This window comes from Homo sapiens, chromosome 8, assembly GCF_000001405.40.
Source record: "Homo sapiens chromosome 8, GRCh38.p14 Primary Assembly".
Lineage (NCBI taxonomy): Eukaryota > Metazoa > Chordata > Mammalia > Primates > Hominidae > Homo > Homo sapiens.
This window is the reverse complement of record NC_000008.11, coordinates 109,643,879-109,658,571: the sequence shown is the minus strand read 5'-3', so window position 1 is coordinate 109,658,571 and position 14,693 is coordinate 109,643,879. Positions and strand designations below refer to the sequence as shown.

At 41.6% G+C, this 14,693-nt stretch overlaps 1 protein-coding gene and 1 long non-coding RNA gene across 17 annotated transcripts in view, besides 4 other annotated features; one reads left to right on the top strand and one right to left on the bottom strand.

Annotated features, from left to right (window-relative positions):
- Positions 1-14,693, top strand: part of SYBU (syntabulin) — a 117,623-nt gene that overhangs the window by 33,029 nt on the left and 69,901 nt on the right. For 3 of the 16 annotated variants that reach the window (NM_001099743.2, NM_001099744.2, NM_001099745.2), the window contains exon 2: positions 13,856-13,936. The exons of 1 other annotated variant lie outside the window; for it this stretch is intronic. In NM_001099743.2, the coding sequence (NP_001093213.1) occupies positions 13,913-13,936 (24 nt within the window). In that variant the 5' untranslated portion in view covers positions 13,856-13,912. Of the gene's footprint in view, positions 1-9,769; positions 9,885-12,469; positions 12,689-12,978; positions 13,284-13,749; positions 13,937-14,693 lie in introns of those variants that run through there. 12 more of the 16 variants (NM_001099755.2, NM_001099753.2, NM_001099754.2 and 9 more) reach the window with 6 other exon arrangements.
- SYBU-AS1 (SYBU antisense RNA 1) lies at positions 7,844-14,443 on the bottom strand. Its single transcript, NR_161375.1, has 2 exons — positions 14,350-14,443; positions 7,844-13,454 (listed from the first exon to the last, which is right to left on the bottom strand). It is a non-coding gene; the product is annotated as an SYBU antisense RNA 1 (long non-coding RNA).
- Positions 13,047-13,983: an enhancer, noted in NCBI's record as "H3K4me1 hESC enhancer chr8:110656818-110657754 (GRCh37/hg19 assembly coordinates)". NCBI's record gives its function as "activates a minimal SCP1, AML or CMV promoter by ChIP-STARR-seq in naive H9 embryonic stem cells {active_cell/tissue: H9 hESC(naive)}" and the evidence as "EXISTENCE:reporter gene assay evidence [ECO:0000049][PMID:30033119]".
- Positions 13,047-13,985: a biological region, named in NCBI's record as "H3K4me1 hESC enhancer GRCh37_chr8:110656818-110657754".
- Positions 13,066-13,385: an enhancer, noted in NCBI's record as "active region_27814". NCBI's record gives its function as "activates an Ori minimal core promoter by ATAC-STARR-seq in GM12878 lymphoblastoid cells {active_cell/tissue: GM12878}" and the evidence as "EXISTENCE:reporter gene assay evidence [ECO:0000049][PMID:35858748]".
- Positions 13,496-13,985: a silencer, noted in NCBI's record as "silent region_19471". NCBI's record gives its function as "represses an Ori minimal core promoter by ATAC-STARR-seq in GM12878 lymphoblastoid cells {active_cell/tissue: GM12878}" and the evidence as "EXISTENCE:reporter gene assay evidence [ECO:0000049][PMID:35858748]".

Genomic DNA, 14,693 nt, shown 5'->3' with positions numbered 1-14,693 from the left:
GAGAGAAGCTTCTGACCTACTCAAGCAGGAAAGGTCCTTCATTCACATACCTTGTCTTAGTCATCATTTCTAGAGCTACCAACTATGAACACATTTAAAACACTGGCTTTGTTTACATTTTTGCCACATTTATTTCTCCTTATAACTTATATTGAACATCCCCAGTTTGTCTTCGTGAATTGAGAAGTTTGTAGAAGAAACTTTAACAACACCAAAGAAAGCAGATGGAATGCATTCATTATAGCAGAAAAATAGGACAGGCAAAACCCTCCTTTATATATTTCCTCCTTTATATATATTAGTGCCTCAGCTTAAAAGTAGTCAGTTAGAAAATCACAAAAGGCCTAAAAGTGAGAATCCAGAGCCACCTGAACATGCTTAATTAACCTAAAACTTGTCCTACCCATCCTACTCATAGTTAAGATATTAGATCTGGCACTGTCTTCCAGAAGGACAATGTGTTTGCTACAGTACCTTTAAGAGGATCAAGAAAGGGATTTTGTATGGTGCACTTAGTAGCTTACTGGTGAATGAAGAAAGAAACCCACAGATAGTGTCTTTCAGTAGGATCAGACTAATTGGAGGACAGTATTGTGATAAAAATTTTAGGAAAAGAGTATTTATGCTAATGCTATTCAAATCATGTGCACCACCTTTGAGCATCTCCATAAAGAAGATGCATCCCAGTGTTTGAAATTATTGAGTATAAATATATGGCCAACAAATGAGTACCCTTAGAAAAATATGGAGTCAAAGAACATGAAATGTTTATTAAACACTTTGAAGGGCTGCTACAATTAAATCATGTGGTTGCTTCCCAGTTGGCTAGACAAGGGGATTGCTCAAAGGTTTCAGATTGAAAAGCCTCACACAGCTCTCTAGGCAAGAAGTTTGGCAGTGATTCTGAAAAACTACAAAGACAAATTCCCAAATATTTATCATATGATTTGTATTCTGCAGTCATTTCCAGTTTCAGTGGCAACAGTGGAAAGAAAAGGATGAAGTCAGGTTACAGGAATAGAATGCTTAAGAAAGGAGTTGAATATCTAATGTGCATTTCTATGGAAGGCCCAATGCCAGAAGTATATAACTACAGACCTGCTGTCAGCCTTTTTAAATTAAAGCTCTATAGAACAAACAAATTTCCTTTGGGCAAAAGACTACCAGAAAACCTTGGTGTTAAAGGGGTGTCATATTCTTTCTGATTTAAAAGGAAGGGAAAAAGAAACTTAGAATTTTCTGCTCAAACCTCCTCTGTAAATGATCTTTTGCTATATTTTTAAATTATGGGACAGTGACTGGTCTACAATAAAGGGCAATAATAGAGCCACTGTGGCAAAATGAAGTGAAGAAATGAGTACATTTTCTACCGTTAAGAAAAGTTTATACGTCTACTTAGTTTTTAATGTTTATAAAAACAGCAGTACTCTGTGGAAAAGATTCAAAGGATTCAACCAAGGGAGAAAAAAAGAGATGCTTAATTTTCATTTAACCGTATTTCTTAATTATAAAGAAAAAGATACACCTGTATCTTGTCCTGTATTAATAAATAGGATTCTTTTGCCATGTCTTTATGTGTTTTTATTCTTGGTTTATCTTAAAATATAGTTAAAAGCTAGAAATATAATTTCTCTATATTAATATTAAATGAGTCATGGGTTTACCTTAAGTGTCAAAATAATATTTGATTTTAATATTTAAAATAAATAATAGTATTTGGGTGAAGCTCATTATTCTACCTTTATTCTCCATGGCCATATAGCAGTTCAAACATTGCTTATTCCAAGATAAGACATCACACCTATCTGTACTACCAAGGTAAAGTACTTAAATGTCTCCCAACATTCACCAGAGTTCTTGGTACACAGCAAGGGCTCAATTAATATTTGTTGAATAAATAACATCACTTATGTATAAAAAGCCTGAATTCAAGGGGTAGGATTTACAATTAGTAAAAGCGTAAGTCTGTAAGGCAATTCTTAAGTGAGCATTAGGAAACCTGCCCAATTATTGTTTGGTTCATTTCCTGGTTTTTAGCAACGAATAATCTTCACATTTTAAAATAATATTTTCAGATACACATTACATAATTAAAAGAGAAAAATGACAAACAGAAGATTCTTAATTCTATATTTATTCCCCATACTCAACATTTCCATTCCTATAGAGGTATTTCTGAATTTAGAACTCTGCAGAGAGGACTGCTGACATTAGTGTACACAGAAAAAAATATATGCAAAAATTCCAGGTGTTCACTAAGGGAAATATAAGCACATTGGTTTTAACAAACTTACGGTTCTATACTTAGTGTCTCAAGCATTAGGAAATTGGCTACTCTCAAAGTATATTTAAAGCAGGTTTGCAGTATGAAGTTTTCTAATACTCTCTTGCCAAAGTAACCATTTTCAAGTTTAAAAATAGGTCTACCTAGATGGTGTGTAATTTTTTTTTTTTTTGAGACGGAGTCTCGCTCTGTTGTCCAGTCTGGAGTGCAGTGGCATGATTTCATCTCACTGCAACCTCCGCTTCCTGGGTTCAAGCGATTCTCCTGCCTCAGCCTCCGGAGTAGCTGAGATTACAGGCACATGTCACCACGCCTGGCTAATTTTTTATATTTTTAGTAGAGATGGGGTTTCCCCATGTTGGCCAGGCTGGTCTCAAACTCCTGACCTCAAATGATCTGCCCACCTCGGCCTCCCAAAGTGCTGGGATTACAGGCGTGAGCCACCACGCCTGGTCTAGATCATATGTAAATTTGAAACTACACATTATCCTGAGTTTGTTATAACAAGAAAAATACAGCAACGCAACTATATGAATATGTGAAAAATATAAATGACAGTGTCTTGTAAAATAAATTCTCACTTAGAATTGTTTTCTATTTTAATACTAAAAATCCAATAAGTGGTAGAAGAAAGCAGGAGGAAAAACTATAACAAGGAATCATGGGGATACTTTTTCAAAGAGTATTCTTTGAATTCTCACTCAAGAGAAATGAGTCCACTAAAATAATGAAGCTAAGATTAATATTTTATAATACATAGGATGAAATGTATGTATTTTCTTTGGCAGAAGCCTTTCAAGTTATACCAATTTGGAAGTCATTATTTCACTTGGTCACTTAAAAATTCTTTTGAATTGCTATTCAACTCATGTTACAAGCCCAAAAGCAAACACAGCTTCTATGTTCATCATAGCTTTAATGTAACTTTATCTTTCCATTATAGTTCCCTAAAAAGTATTTTCGAAGCCGAAAATCATTTTATCCTATTTCACACTCAAGACAGGAGCAAATGCCATGACTCTGGCAAATCAAATTATCCAGTGAATATACCCGAAAGGCAAAAGGAACTGGACGGTGCTGGGAGATGGAGGTTGAAGATTGGGAGGTGTGTTCAAGGTAGAGGGAACATTTGTGAACGTCAAAGGCGGAATGCAAGGATTAAATCATGAGGGATCTTGTAAGCTATGCATTAGTGGATGAAGTTTATCTTGAGACTGGTAGTGAGCATTGAAAGATTTCATTTGAGGCTAGAGAGATAGGATGGGGAAGGAATGATCAGATCTGCACTTTAAAGAGACTATTGTGGCCACTGTTCAAAAATGAACTGAACGGGACAAGTGTGGGGGACAGGTTAGAAATCTAGGCAGGAAGAGGTGGTAGAGAAATGAACACATTTTAAAGATAATTAGGAAGTAGAACAGATAGGACTTAGGTTCCAATTAGTTGTAATGGTTAAGGGGAGACAGAAAAGTTAAGAATGTCACCCAGGTGTCAGGGTCTTCATGATGATATTGTTTATCAACTTAGGGAACACAGAAGTAAAATCAGCTTTTAGAGGAAGTATGATGAATTCAATTTGGAATGTAGTGAGTTTGTGGACCCTGTGAGATATAAAGTTGAGATATCCAAATTAACTATGGGATAATCATGGAATAGAGGTAAGCAGTTATATAATTTCTATAAGATCTGCCTGTAAATAGCAATTGAAGCAATTGGAAAGAAAGATATTGCCCCAAGAGGGAAGGATGGATGAAAGAATAAAAGGGTGAGGGCTTGAAAGTGAGCAAAAGCAACATTTAAGAAATGAGCTAAAAGGATACCAAGAAGTAGGGGAAGATCAGGAGGGCAATGTTCCAGAAAAAATGAAAGTGCTTTTCAAAAATGTGCGAGTATTTCACTATGCAAAGGCTGATGAGAAGCCAAGACTAAGATCAAAACTAGCCATCAGATTAAACCAAATGGAAGAATTTGTGACTTTGAGCAAGAGCTATTTGGTAGAGCTGTGAGTACATGAGTGGAGTAGGGATTGGTTCAAGGAGCAGGGAAGTGTGAGACATATACTCTAGACAAGTAACTTTTTCAGACGTTTGGTGATGAATGGGGATAAGAAATCAGGTTGTACTAGAAATATATGAGAGCTTTGGATGGTCATTTATTTCACTGGAAAAGTTTTTGGCATGTTTAAATGCTGATGTGAAATGTCCAGTAAAAAAAATGGATTAAAGTTATAAAAAAAAATAGCTAACGTTCATTGAGTGCTTAGTGTGTGCAGGGTGCTCTTCCATGTTCTTTATGGTTATTAACTCCTCTGATACTCTCAATAATCCTATGAGAGACTAACTGATAGGATAATATGCCTTAAGAGATGGGAAAGAATGGGATCCAGAGTTCAGGTAAACGAATTTTTCTTGTATAGGAAGAAACACAACTTCCATCCTAAAGAACCAGAAATGGGAAGGATGGGGTGGAGGCAGGTGAATTTATAGGTTTGGAGGCAGGAGATTGAGAGAGTTCTCTTAATACCTCCTATTTTTGTCTGTCAATCAGGAGAAATGGCCATCTGTACAACATGAGGGCAGGGGTGGTAGGCTGGTAGATTTGAAGTATGGAGGAGATTTAAAATAGACATTGTGGAGAATAGGAGAGAACATGCACTAGAAGCCCAAAATGATTGCCAGGCAGCACTGAGGCCCACTGCAGGTGAAAAGCAAGAGCATGCAGTGTCATTCATCCACAGGGTTGTGGGGTTTTCCCACCATGCTCAGCTTCGGGTCATAGGAGAGGCAGTGCTGTTAAGACTTTTGGGAAACTTCTAGGAGTCTTGGCATTGAATCCACCATGGGAGACAGAGAAGACCTTGGAGGCAAATCCAAAGGTAATAGGCAGGCAAAGGGCAGGGGAAGATGGGAGATATAGATCCATTTGATGGGCACTTATTTACACTTTCTTCAAAAGCCATAGTATAATTATACCTAACTAATCAGGTAGATTGGGATAGATCTCAGTAAGGGGATATATGGGAACTCTCTATACCTTTTAATTTTTTTTGTAAACCTAAAACTGCTCAAAAATATAAAGATTAGTATTTTTTTAAAAAATAAAATAGATGCCTAGGAATACATAATGTAGTGACCATATGAACATCATTTATCATTATTGTTTTAGAGAGATTTACCTGACTGTTCAGCTAAAATGGAATTACATAGTTTATCCTCCTCTGGGTCATTGTGAATTGAGGAAGGGGAGAAGAAAGGAGACCAAGAAATCTATTGTTAAATCCCCAGTTTGTACAAGGGACTATGCTGGGCTTATTACAAGTGTTATAGAATTTAATCCTCAAAATAGACCTATGAAGTAGAACCACGCATGTATTTTACAAATAAGAATACCAAGATACAGAGATGTTACCTAGCTTGCCTAAAGTGGTTCAGCAGGTAAACAGAAGAAAGGAGTTTGGAACCATTGTCTATCAAAGCACCTGCTCATTATTTCACAACCACCAAATAATGTTCCATTTATTGACATCCAGTTTCGTATAGCCGTATATTTTGAAAGTTTTCTGAAATTGCCCTGAGAGTTAGAATAAAGGCATTATTAACCCTTATTACGTTTCAGGCCAAGAGACTTTACCTGTCAAAAAAAAATTTCATGAACAAATCCATAGGTGGCAGTATAACATGGTGTTCTTAAAATGTCAACTATTGCTAATTAACAAAACACCAGGTATTGTCTTGATGCCGTCCTAGGTGATCAAGATTTGAGAAAAATCCCTTTCTTCTAGAAGGTTACATCCAGGCAGTAAAGATTCAAGGGGAAGCCCAAAAGCTGTTTTCCTCCGCATCAATCCTTGGGGCCTGGACGGTGGCAGAAGTATCTCAAAGTAGGGAAAAAAAAGGGAGAGAGAGAGAGAGTAGAAAAAGAAGGAGGAGGAGGAGAAAAAGGAAGAAGAAGAGGAGGAAGAGAGGAGAGGAACAATAAAGAGAAAGGAACTCTGAAGAAACCAGATTATAATAGGATGTATTCAATGCTTCAAAATTCATCTTAAAACTCACCCCTGAACATCTCAGACCCCAGTCTAATTTAGATACTGGCAAGCCCTCTGGGTGTCCAGATCTCATGCAAACACACTGAATAGTTTATCAGCTGATGGTCATGTCCGTGTCTCTATTAGACCTTGGGACACTTGAGGCAGCAATCATTGTTCATCTTTGAATACTTCGGAACTAGTGGCTGAGGCAGTGCATGGCTCAGAATAGGAATGAAGTAAGAAGTGATGGATGGATGAATGAATGAATGAATGAATGAGTGATAGGTGTCTGTGCATTCATCATGCCTTCTACTCTACCTTCTGGAGGAAAAGTCCTGGCAATATCTTTTCTAATGAGAAATTCAGTGTCCTCCTTTATATGCCATAAGTCATCGAGAGAAAACTTATTGCTTCCCTTTAATAAAAATTAAGATGAAACTTTTTAGGATGAGGTGAATGTGAAACAAGCAAGCAAGACACAGCAATGGTGGTTGGAGCCATTTGATCCTGAGGGACAGAGGATATCTATTAAGCTCTAACCATGTGCCAGATATAAATGCTAGGCTTTGCGTCTGTTCTTATCTAATCCCTATAACTGTATTATGAACTAATTACTGTTATTAAGTTTATTTTCTAGATGTGAAAATGAGGCACAGAAAAGTTAATTTGCCCAAAGACATTAACTAGTGCAACTGGTTCTTCTTTCCTTTTTAGCTAATGTGCACATACTGAATGTTGAGTCCTACAGGGGTTAAATAACTTGACTGGAGTAGCACTGTCAGAGCAAAAAAAAAAAAAAAAAAAAAAAAAAAGTCTCAATTTCAGGCCTATGAGACTCAAGAATTCATGTCCTTTATTAAACTACATTTTCTCATCACAGATGTTTTTCCAGACTTGGGAAACTCATTTCACTTTCCAGTGCTTCCCTGAATTAGGTTCACATTATGGCAAGCTGGTAGCTGGGCTTCTGATTAGAAAGGGGCACAGGTACTTTTCTACCAGCCTCTGAGTTAAGGTCATTTCTCCAGCCTTAGCTTTGCTAATTCCCCACCAGCAACTTTTTCTGAAGCTTCAGATGGGTCCGGTCTCCACCAGGACCAGATATCTAGGAAGCCATCCTGAAACTTCTAGGCTTCCAGCAGCAGCCTCAGCTGTTTGTCAGTAGTGATAAGGAGGCCCGAGATCCCTGTATCTCAGATCAGTCCCTGATAATCTGAGAAAAGACAGAAGGGAGTAGTAACTTCACTTGCCATATGCCACTTAGAATTTCATTCTTATTTTAACATGCTGGTTTTGATGCACAGTAGATAAGCCTGAAAGTAAATACATGAAACTGCTAACAGAAGGAATAGGGATAATTGATGTTAAGGCAATGAGATAATGAGTATCTTTTTTCTTTTCTAAAATTTTTATAACATGGTTTAGTATCCTTTTTTAAGAAAAAAATAGTTATCATTTTAAAAAGGCATATTTTTTCTCTTGATAAGCAGAAGTAGCTAAAAAGGACACATGGGCAGATGAAACTACATAGGCCAGATTCCCAAATTCTAGTTTTATTTTCCTACAAATTCTTCTGCAGTGCGTTAGAGAGGAGCTGGGAGTACACAGCAAAGGCTAGCTTTACTCACAAGGTCACAAGATTTCAGGTATAAAGGACAGTGGTTCACAGGAATAACCTAGGAAGTGGGAATAAAGCAGCAATCAAAACTATCCTCAGCTCTACAACTGCACCAGTGACCCCCACACCAACAGCCCAACCATTCCCTGCTGTAGCTGCCATCATAGTAGTTGGTTGGCCTCTGGGGGTGCTCAGCTCCATTTGGCAATAGTGTTCTTGCTCTTTGAGAAGAGACACTCAAAGTCTTCCTCTTTTGCACCTGCTCTCATTTTCTCAGCAGAAATAAAGACAAAGTTATTTTTTAAGATGTTTACTAGAAAGTGGAAGCAAAAAATATAAAATCATGGAAATAAAGTGCATTATGGAGAACATATTGTTTTTAATGTAACTCAAATCTACCATTGTTCTGCTTTCCAGGAACCCAGATTACAATTTTTTTTCTAAGCCTAGACTGCTATGGATGCTGAGTGAACCCCTCAGAGCCTCCAGCCTGTGTATCTGCTCTGTGTCTGGCATGTCTGAGAAGCATCCTCTCTCTATAGCTGCCCTCCTGGGTTCAGGCAACTTTCAGCTGCTTTTCCCACACTTTCTGGTTTCTTGGGGAAGGAAGGTGCTTCTCTATTAGCCCCAGAATTCATCTACTGGATTTAGGCTTTCCTTTTCATGTCTTACAGATAACATCCTTTGCCTTTTCTGTACACCTGTGAGACCAACAGATTGTCTAATCACATGAAGCATTTCACTAGGTAAATGTCAAGTCTCAGTTTCCCCTACTTAGATGGCAACCTTTACACGCATACTTTCCAGAGCGTCTTAATTTCAATCATTCTGATTCATTTTCCTAATAAGTGTACACCTACTTGTCCAACAATGTGTCCCCATTTTGTTTAATGCAATCACCGTGCCTATGTTTTTGACAAATATCCTACCCTATTTTCAAAGATGAACCAAAGGCCACAAACAAAAAGCCATTTTGGGGGAGGCTATCTCATGTCTGCTCTCCCATAAGGCATCAGAGGATTAGACCCTTACCATCCTTCAACGTTCCAAGCCCCCAACCTCTGCCTCTTCCCCTGGACTTGCCCTTAATTTCTGTTATTCACTGAGAGAATACTCTGACTGAACACTCGTTTGTCGGGCAGAGATAATTGACACATTCTGAGCCCAGTGAATGTTCAAGCATGGCCTGCCTCAGGTTACCCACTGCCCTCTCTGCCCCAAGCACCTCTATGCCACCTCCTGGGGGAGTGATCTTGTGCAATTCTAGTCATTTCAGTTTTACAGCATCAAAGTACCTCAACCTATAGTAATGATAACACACATACATTAAGACAAGGGTTGGGCTGGGCACGGTGGCTAATGCCTGTAACCCTGGCACTTTGGGAGGCCGAGGCGGGCAGATCACGAGGTCAGGAGATGGAGACCATCCTGGCCAACATGGTGAAACCCCCATCTCTACTTAAAATAACGAAAATTAGCTGGTGTGGTGGTGCGCGCCTGTAGTCCCAGCTACTCAGGAGGCTAAGGCAGGAGAATAGCTTGAACCCAGGAGGCGGAGGTTGCAGTGACCTGAGATCGCACCACACTGCACTCCAGCCTGGCGACAGAGTGAGACTCTGTCTCCAAAAAAAAAAAAAAAAAAAAAAAAAAGGAGGAGGGTTGATCAATCACACATGCTCTTATGGGAAAACAGGCAGCTCTCTCCCTGGTAAGAAAAATATGGGTCTCCACCCCACCCCACCACACACACAAAAAAATCTCACGATGCCCCAGAATGCAGTTTCTTTCCTTCGTGACGTGTTGTGAAGCACGTCAGCTGCTCCTTGTTGCTGTGCAGATCACCCAACATTAGGTCACCGAGAGAGACAGCAGCTCTTGCTCACACAGCTGATAGGATTAGGAGATGGTGCTTTGTCAGCCCTGATTGAGCCCAAGAAAACCCCCTGCATACACAGGTGAGATGTGAGGAAGAGTGAATGTGAGGGACCGTGATGTGTCTGGGTTGTTTGGTGCAGGCGTTTTCTTTTCAGCAGTGCATTTGTATTGTCTTCTCTGTGAAGTTTGCAGTCTAGGGGATTCCTATTAATAAAAATCTATGCTTTTTCAGTTATCTGGTCTCAGAGATTGGCCACATGTACCTCACGGGATTTTTGTGAGGCTCAAATAAAATTATATATGTGAAAGAGTTCTGAAAATATAAAGTTTTGTGCATACGAAAGGTAGGAATCATTTAATTACAAATTTCACATAAACAATCAAGTAACTTATCCCAGATTTGAGGGAATAATTATATAAAGACATTACCTTCCTTCCCAGTCTACAATACCCTATCTCTCCTGTGCTTTGCCAGGAGATATATATATATATTATATATATATATTATTGTATATATATATTATTATATATTATTTATAATATTTCAAGGTTAAATCCTAAAGCAATTGATATTTTCTAAAAGCCAGAAATACATTAATTTTTAAAGAAGCCAAAAGGTGATAAAACAAGACCATAAAGTAAGTCTTTAAGTAAAAAATGAAAATGATGCATAAGACTATTTTAAAGCAGGGGAAAGAAGACCATATTATGCTGTATTAGATTATATCTCTTTGATGGTATAATCCAAATGTTACAAGACATTTCTTCTAATGACATGAGAAACACTTGAATGAAATTAAGGCGGCATAGATATTATCATCGGTAAAACTTGCCTTTTAGAACAGTGGAAAAACAGGCTTGGGTTCCAAAAGTACAGAGCTAAGAGGCATCTGAACACTAAATCATCAGCCTTTCCCTCTGCTAGGTTGCTATGGCGACAGCAAGGCTACTGCACAGCCTCTCAGTGCCTGCACTTCTGCAGTAAAAGCTGTCACTGAACACATGTTGGATTTTTTAGGCACACACCCAATCATCAGATACAAATACATTGTGGAGGCAGCTTTATCTGAATCATTTTCAAAACAAGTTGTATCTATGTTCTTTATCTTGCACTGATGGGCCCCTTATGGGGTTATAGAATTCACTCATTCAGGCATTAATTCATTTGACAGTTATGTATTGAGTGTCAACTGTATAACAGGAATTGTACTAGGCACTGCCTACAAGCTTTGGTGAAAACAAACAAGTAAATGGGGAATTCTGAGGAGATCATAACAGCTCTCTTGGGGGTAAAAATAAGTGTCCTGGAATCATCAGGGGAGGTTTCCTGGAAGAAGCTGTCTAAAATGAAACAATGTATCTTTAAGAGTTGAGGAGGATAGGTGGATGTAGTGCAAGAAATGTTCTAAACAGAGGCAGGTGCAGCAGTCTCGACGAAAAAGAGAATACAAAACCTCCACCTCCGAGAACTGAAAGTGCTACAGTTTGAGCAGTATCCATTTGTATGTAAGGGAAGAGTGGCAGGGACCAAAGGGACAGGTTAGGGAGGGGAGGGAGTATCTACAAAAGAGAGGAGTGGCAAGAAATGAGATCGGAGAGGTAAACAAGGCGGCCAGATCAGGAAAGCCTTGTGTGCCACATTAAGGAGTTTCAGTATTACCTGGAGGACAATCAGGAAATCATTAATGAGTTTTCACGGAGAAGCATGACTTGATTTAGCTTTTCATAAAGGCTTGTGGAAAAATGGAGACACTGATCGGAGAGAAAGGAATAAGAGGCAAGGCTGAAAGCAAGAGACCTTGAGTTAGACCACTATTGCAATAATCTAGGGTGACTGTGGTTTACACTCTACACGAAGATAATGGAGACAAATAGTGGACAGAAGTAATCAGATTCAAGACCGTTATTACTTGGGTGGCATAGAGATCACTTGGTGGTTTATGCTATGTGTGGGTCAGGTGAATGAGAGAAAAAAGTCCACGATGACACTGAGGTTCTGACTTGGCTAACTCAGTGGAGGGTGTTTCTGCTATTAGGTCCCCAGTGTCAATTCTCAATTCTAAGTAGGGAACTCAGAAGCATCCATTAACTTTAAAAGTTTGTTCTTATCTCACAGTATATGATCCCAGGCTCATAATTTTAGGAATAATAAGTTGTATGAATCATCCTGGACCATCACTTTCCTGAGGTCCATATTTGAAACAGCTGTGGGTGTAGAAAGTATGAATTAATCACCTCTTCTTCCCAAATAAAGAATCTTAAAATTACCAACCTCACTGCTTGAGAGAGCTAAGTAGATTGAAAAGGCATGAAGATTTATGGAGGAAGCTCTCTTTTGGAGTTATAGGAAGAAGGGAAATTGATTCCACTAATCCTCTGGCTTCAGGCTCTCTCTAGACTCACAACATATATTCTTAGGCTTGAGAGTTGAGGACTCAGAAATGCTGTTTGGAGGATGGATGAAAGGGGACAATGACCCTCAGTTTTCGAGGAGCACAGTCCTCCTATGTAGGACACTGGTGCATAAGGATCAGAGTGTCGCACTGCTTGGAATATTCTCCAATTCTGAATAAAGGGTATATAAGTCATTATACATGGTGAATTCCACCACCAGATAAGATTTAAGGGTAGCAATTGTAATAAATCAAGGCCCTTGGCCCAGCTGATGTACCCTATTCTAAGTCCCCAGTTGGACAGATTTTCGAGCTTTCTTAAACAAATTTGTGTGCATCACAAATGCTTTTTCTGCCTGTCATGTAAAAGGCATCAACAAATATTGACTGGATCATCTGGACCTGACTTAGCTGCCCTTTGGAAAGTTCTGTTCAATCAGCTGGATAGAGCTGTTTGTTTTCCTCACCTAACCCTCACAGCTATCCTAGAGGTAGGTATCACTATTATTATCCCTCAATTTAACAAGGGTAAATTTGAAGTTCAGAAGGGTCAAGAACCGTAGGCGTAGGCCACGCATGCAATGGCATCCGCATGTAATTCGAGCACTTTGAGAGGCCTGGACGGGATGATCCCTTGATCCCAGGAGTTAGAGGTTGCAGTGAGCCCTGATCGCGCCACTGTACTACAGCCTGGGCCACAGAACGAGATGCCGTTTCAACAGCAACGGAAAAAAAAAAAAACAAAAAACGAAACAACAACAAAAACTTTAGGCATAAAGGCACTCAGGCTGAAGGGACCGATTGGAGTGCTGGCTTGAACTCGTTTTTCTGAGTTCAATTCCAGTGCTCTTCCCTTAGCAGTGTGCTGGAGCTACTTCCTGGAGCCGGGCAGCTGCAGGGCAGCGCTGGGGAAAAGACTGTTCTCTGGCTACATAGCAGCCTGGCTTCTCCAAGCCGGAGGGAGCTGCGCTGACCACTGAAGGCCTTTCTGATGCAACCCCTTCCAAGTAGAATCCATCGCAGCCTTTCAGATCCCGGAACCCAGAGGCTGTGTCGGTCCTGACGCACTGGCTTGGCTGGGCTCCGGTACGAGAGGGATCTCTGCAGCTCTCGGGCGAGGCAGTTGTGGGGAGCTGTAGGCTGACTTAAGACCTGGAGGCCAAGGAGGGGTGGCCAGGGGAAAACTTTCTCTATTTTGTCTCTCTGTGATGTCGCAGCTTTTCTCAGTCACTCCATCCAACGCCACCCACTTCAAACCTGAGATCAAGTGCAAAAAAAAAAGAGGGTGGGGTCACCCCTGGGCTGGAGATGCCGCTAGCCGCAGCCTGCCTACACCGGGCCGAGCTCCTTGGAGAGGGAGGGACACCGGCTCTGGCTGGGGGGGCGCGGAGTGCCGTGGGGAAATCGGGCGGGTGGGGCGCGCCCAGGCGCGGTCGAGTTGCCCCGAAGGCCGCAGGTGAGGGAGGGCGTGGGAGGCGCCCCAGGAGCTGCCTCTAGCGAGTGCGGCACCACGTGTCCGGCCGGGGCGGGGTCGGGCGTGCCCTCGGAGCCCAGAGCAATCGGCGGCAGTGGCGGCGGCGGCGCGTTGGAGCCTCACCAAGAGCCGCCGCCCGCAGCCCGCGCCGGCTCAGCGCAGTCTCCTCGCTCCGTGCTCGCAGGTGCCTCCTCCTGGACGGCGGCAGCGGCGGCGCGAGGAGCCGGCGGGCAGCGGCGCGATGGGGCCCCTCCGCGAGAGCAAGGTAAGGAGCGCGGGGCAGTGCGGGCACTGGAGGGCGGGGAAGGCGGGCACTGCGGGGCGAGAAGCGGCGGGATGAGAGCTGGAGGGGTGACATTTAGAGTCTGGGGAAAGGTGGAAGGAGGTGGTGGTGGGGTCTGGAGAAGGCAGGAGGCATTGCTTAGGAGTTGAGATCCAGGAGATGGGGAGGTGGTACTGGAGGAATAGATTTTGGAGAATGACATGATTGGAGGGTTAATCCCACCTCCTGAAACTGGGACTGTGGGGTGTAGCTTTCAGTTGATATCCTGTGTGTGTGATGTGAATGAAAGGAATTTGATGCATCCGCGACTGGGAAAAGAGGACTCCCGCGTGTCAGTGACCCTGCCTTAGCTCAGGGTCTGCGGTGTGCCCGGCGGAGTGGCTGGCGCATGGTACCTGCTGGGCGGCAGATGTGCAGGGCGAATCCGAGGCTGCGTGCGGCTGGCGGCCCCCGGGTAGAGTGGATGCCTGAGGGCCCTCCGAAGTTCCCCATTGCTGAGGTTTACCCTTCAATTTATGCCATGTGCCGGCCTCCCAGAGGTGTTTATTTTGGCCGTGACCCTTCCTGGTAAGCCGGTGGAAGGAACAGTAGGTCATGTTTCGAAAGGGTGTTTGTTACCTAAGCCAAAGAGTCCCTTTCAGTGGCAGAGGTTGGAGGAAGCAGTGGAATTTTTGCAAAACGCTCCTCCTAGGAATCCATTTTCATAAGGCAGGGTGGTGGTGACCCTGCAAAGCACTGG